Source organism: Homo sapiens, chromosome 7 (assembly GCF_000001405.40).
Source record: "Homo sapiens chromosome 7, GRCh38.p14 Primary Assembly".
NCBI classification, from domain to species: Eukaryota; Metazoa; Chordata; class Mammalia; order Primates; family Hominidae; genus Homo; species Homo sapiens.
This window is the reverse complement of record NC_000007.14, coordinates 36,762,279-36,767,696: the sequence shown is the minus strand read 5'-3', so window position 1 is coordinate 36,767,696 and position 5,418 is coordinate 36,762,279. Positions and strand designations below refer to the sequence as shown.

Genomic DNA, 5,418 nt, shown 5'->3' with positions numbered 1-5,418 from the left:
TTTCCTATCTTTCCTTTCTGTCCTTCCTTCCTCATCAGTAAGCCAAAGGCAGAGTGTATTGGTAGCAGGTGTGCACATGAAGAAGTGAAACAAAAAGAATGAGGGTTTTGTTTTTGTGCAGCGTTTTCACTCTTTTGGAGAGAATAAACATATATGAATGTATGAAATAGGAAATAGGAATTGTGTGGCTTTGGTGATTCCATATAAGAGTTAAGTGCCCTTATATTTGCATTTAAACCTCATAATTGCATTTTAAATTATATTGCACAATACTAATATGAATGAGAAAATTCAAGCTAATAATTTAAGGGTTTAATTTTTCTTTCCTTAGAATAATATTAAACAAAGAGATAACAAACATCACGGCAAGGCCAGAGAGAAACTGCAGAAGAAAGAGAAATGAGATCTGTATTTTAGTTAGTACCCTGGATGGGACTTTTTCCTGTTATTTGAACAAGGGCTCCCACATTTTCATCTGGCACTGAGCCCTGCAAATTATGAAGCCAGCCCTTCCCACAAGTGCATGAAGCATCAGTTCATGTCGCTTTGGGACATTTTGGTTGCAGTATGACGGGGGCAGAAGTGGACATTGAGAAGGATTTGTATGAACATCATGAAGTGAGCCACAGGGCAATAAAAAACAGTCTGGAAGGAAGGTGGTGGCTGTAGCTAGTGTTCTTTAGCAGCTCACTTTGTGCAACCTGTAAGGAACAAGAGAGACAGCATCCCTAAACAAGGGATGCTTTGTGTAAAGACGCAGGAAACTGCTCAGATAAGAGCAATTTCGAGCTGAGAAGTGATGTCATAGAAAGGCTCTTTTCTCTTATAATCACTGATAACCTTCTGTCTATTACTTGAGTTCAATACTGGGATATATTTGTGCAGAAAAGCTGAGAGCTTGCTCTCAGAAAATCCAGGGAACAGTGTAACAGATCAATTGATTTGTCAAGCACAGGCAGACAGAAACAATTTCCTTGGCTAGACTTAGTTAATGCAGATGGCTGCTTCCTTTACCTTATAATACACCTCACACTGGCCATGGATCGTGTTCCCAGAGGATGTCACTATTTCCCTGGAAAGCTCTAGGCTCTTTCTCTAGGCATTTTGAAAGAAGAAATAAAACAGCACAGCAAGAGCCTGAGGAAGCCATTAGCAGGAGGTGGGTGTACCTGAGAGAACAGTTAGATTAGTAACATGGCTGCTGGTAGTCATGTTAAAACCAGTCCTGCCTCCATTTTCTGTGTCCAGTCACCAATAGTGCACATGAAGCTCCTGGGGGAAAGGAAGACAAAGAACTTGCCAACCAAATGCTAATTCTTGATACCTGAAGTGTCAGCTCCAAGTTTCTGTCTGATTGACAGTGATGGCAAGCTATCCAGAAGCACAAGATGATGTTCTTAAGCATTGTAGCTTAAGAACTTAACCAGGCTACAGCCTGATCACCCTACTCCACGCCTCTTCTTCCCTGCACCCACTCTATGGCTTATCTTAATACTTTGAAGGCAGGGAAGAGAAGAGGAAAGGCAGTTGCCCCACACCACTCCCCTGGCCAGTATACAAATATTCATTACACTCTTCACATTAAAATGCTCCAACCATGGCTAGTCGTATACAAGAGAGATGGCCCGAGTGCTAGACGAAAGGCATTCCATTGGTAACTTCTCTGTTTTCGGAACACTCTGACAACCCTAAAGTAGCTTTTAATTCCCTGCTGACACCATAGCATTCTTCCCTTCATGCCTTTATTGATGCCGTTCCCTCTGTTGGGATGCCTTCCCTACTTCTTCACTGGCTAGTATTCATTGATCCCATTTCCTCTTCCTCTGGGCTACACCAGAAAGACTACATTTCCCAGCCTTCTTTGCTATTGGTGTAGTCATGTGACTGAGTTCTAGCCCATAGCATGTGAGCAGAAGTGATGCGGGCCACTCCCAGGCCTGACCTATAAGAACCTCCTACACAAGATCTTCCAAGCTCTTCACCTTCTACAGACTACAGCAGAGGACCACAGCAACTTGGAGAGCCACGGAATAAGGGTGGTGGGGCCATAGGAAGGCAGCGGTCCAGGTTCTTTAATCACCACTTGGGAGAGCAACACCTGCTGATGACCAGGACCATCTATTTGGGACTCTACCCCAGTGAAAAATAAACTTTTATTATGTGTAGGAGTTATCTGTTTCAGCAGCCAGTGTTCCTATAACTAGCAGAACTGACTTTTGATAATATTGCCCCTCTTTCTAGGGATCATGACACAATTGTAACCCAGGTGTTTACTGCTGAGAGTCCTCTAGCCAGCTGGAGGCTCCCTGTTCCTTGATATTTAATTTTAAAGGCTGAAATTCCCTTATACTCAGGGGACGTTTCAGAGCTCTCCCTCTCCCACCTCCGTCCCCACTAATATCCCCTGGGGTTTCTGAAAGACATTTCTCCTAGTCTTATCTTGCTCTGATATCACACGAGTTAGAAAGGATATGATAGGGTTCTTGGTTGTTTCTTAGAGTAACATTGCCTTTTTTCTGTGTTGCAAGCAAGTACTGGTTTGAAGGGAAAGTGTGGTTTCTTGGGGCTGTCAGTGGCTTGCTTCTTCACTGGCAGACCCAATGCATTCTCTTTGTACTTGTTACCAGGGCAGCTCTGATGAAATAACTGGGAAAGTTTTTTTTTTTTTCTTACTGTTTTTCCTTAGTCCCTTAATTTACAAGCGCAGCTGCTTAAAGAAACCGAATGGCCTGAGATGGCGCCAGAGCTTCTTGACCCCTGACTAGATACCAGAGGGAGCTAACACTCCCAAACTGGCACAAACAGGAATAGACGACCCCTAGTTGCCTTTGGGTCATCAACATATCATAATAATGTTAAAATTCCCTCCCCTAAAAGAAAATCTCTACCATTTTGTGTACATGTGATATATGAAGAAATTTTTATAAATTTGAGCTTGGGTGTCTGGAGTCCCACCCTCCACATGCTAACAATGCCTCTCCCTCCCTGTACCCAGTCCTTCACAACCCCACGCCTTCTATTGTTTAGGGAGAAGGTGCATTTAGAGCAAGAGATCACGTTCTTCATTCTCTGGCCAGTGAATGAAACCTGACGGCCTTTTCCAATTGGATATTCTTTCTTTGAGACCGACATCAACTTGGGAAAGAATTTAGTTTGTTGGTGACATACTCAGTTTGTTGGTGACGTTCTCACTTTGAGTCTTGCTGAACCTCCACACTCCATGGAACCACTGGGTCCGGAATTGGTGGGTTCTTGGTCTTGCTGACTTCAAGAATGAAGCCGCGGACCCTGGTGGTGAGTGTTACAGTTCTTAAAGATGGTGTGTCCGGAGTTTGTTCCTTCTGATGTTCGAACATGTCCAGAGTTTTTTCCTTTTGGTGGGTTCGTGGTCTTGCGGACTTCAGGAGTGAAGCTGCAGACCTTCGCAGTGAGTGTTACAGTTCATAAAGGCGGCGCGTCTGGAGTTGTTCGTTCCTCTGGGTGGGTTCCTGGTCTCACTGACTTCAGGAGTGAAGCTGCAGACCTTCGCCGTGAGTGTTACAGCTCTTAAAGGCAGTGCGTCTGGAGTTGTCTGGTCCTCCCCGGTGGGTTCATGGTCTCTATGGCTTCAGGAGTGAAGCTGCAGACCTTTGTGGTGAGTGTTACAGCTCATAAAGGTGTTGTGGACCCAAAGAGTGAGCAGCAGCATGATTTATTGCAAAGAGCAAAAGAACAAAGCTTCCACGGCGTGGAAGGGGACCCAAGCGGGTTGCCGCTGCTGGCTTGGGTGGCCTGCTTTTATTCCCTTATCTGGACCCACCCACATCCTGCTGATTGGTCCATTTTACAGAGAGCTGATTGGTCTGTTTTACAGACCGATTGGTCTGTAACAAACCTTTAGCTAGACACAGAGTGCTGATTGGTGCGTTTACAATCGTTTAGCTAGACAGAAAAGTTCTCCAAGTCCCCACCCCACCCAGAAGCCCAGCCGGCTTCACCTCTCACCGCCAGCATCCATCCTCTGCTGCTGGGGCATTGCAAATGTTCTATGGGAATGGGCAGCAAAGAGCAGCTGACATGCATATTACGCCTCCTCCATGCTCCTGCGCATGTGCTGCTGCCCCATGGACTTCACTTACAGAGCAGAGTTCAGCAATAATTTTAAGAGGGCATGAGCACAGCATTAAATCTTAAATGGGGCTCTTTCAGCTTGGGGCCCTATGCAACCTCAACGGCTATGGGCCTGTGAAGCTGGCTTTGAAGAAGGACATTTCTCCCACTCCTCTCTCCAGCAGGCAGAGCCTCTGAGTGGGGACTGAGATGAAAGGACAGATCAGGAAGGAATTGATGAGGACTGTGCGAGATGTAAAAGCTTCTTCTGACTCTTCCACTGAAATCACCAGTCATGCTTGTGAGGTGGATTTTCCTCTGGGAATGTAATTAAGTGCTGAGTCATGCTTCAGGCCTGGTGGGGACAAAAATATAGCTAGAAGCTGGGGCACTGGCGTACAGGATACACACTGCCTCTTGCCCTCTTTGGATTCTCTGTCTTCCCTAGCTCTTCTCACCTCGTCTTGGATTGAGCCTGTTCCCACCTCCGTTTGTCCTTCCTTCTTGCATTGCCTTTGGAAATGCAAAACATATCTTACTCTATTTGCAAAACAATTTGCTTTCTCCTTGAATTCCTCTTGTTGATCCTGCCTGGATAGGCCAAATTGTCCCATCAAGGTGATCTGCTTAACAAAACAAAAACAAAACAAATACACAAACAAAAAGCTGGGTTTATTTCCTTACGGAATTTGACTACCAGCATTTATGTGTTTTTTTCTCCTGGATTCTCTGGTAGCAAACCTCCATGACATGGCTTAGGACCCTCAGAAAGCCTTTCCAGGCTCCCAGGTGGGTTTGGGAGCTCTTCCTTGGGTCTCCTTTAAAATCACATGTGTATCTCACATACAAATGCATAGACATATACACATTGTCAAAGACAGACCCAGCTAGATGTTAGTTAAAGCAGTGAAAACAGATTTTATTCAGTAATTACTGATGGGAGGAGAAAGAACTGAACTCCATTGTGATTTGCATAGAGGTGACTGGGATTGCAAAGGGAGTGAGGGAGTAGGGAGGGGGTAAGCAGGGGCTCAGCAGATTCAGAGAGGCAAAGAACTGCGAAGGGTTGGCCAGCATTAATGCCTTTGGGCCAGCTGTGTTTGTGAGTTGACAAGTTAGGATTCTACCCACCTACTGAGATGGGGGACAGGGGCCCTAGCCTTCCTGATGATGACTTTTCACAGTAATGGCTTTCGGGTCCTTGAGAAGGATACTTCAGAGTTACAGGAGATGCATATTCACAAATGTAAGCCCTTTTTGTTTTTATTTTTAAATAAATGTTATTGTGTATATTTAAGGTACACAACATGATGTTATGAGATACTATAT

General features: G+C 44.9%; 1 annotated feature.

Moving 5' to 3' along the window:
- Positions 3,985-5,184: an enhancer, noted in NCBI's record as "MED14-independent group 3 enhancer chr7:36802118-36803317 (GRCh37/hg19 assembly coordinates)". NCBI's record gives its function as "activates an origin of replication core promoter dependent on BRD2, BRD4, P300/CBP and CDK7 cofactors, and independent of MED14, by STARR-seq in HCT116 cells {active_cell/tissue: HCT116}" and the evidence as "EXISTENCE:reporter gene assay evidence [ECO:0000049][PMID:35650434]".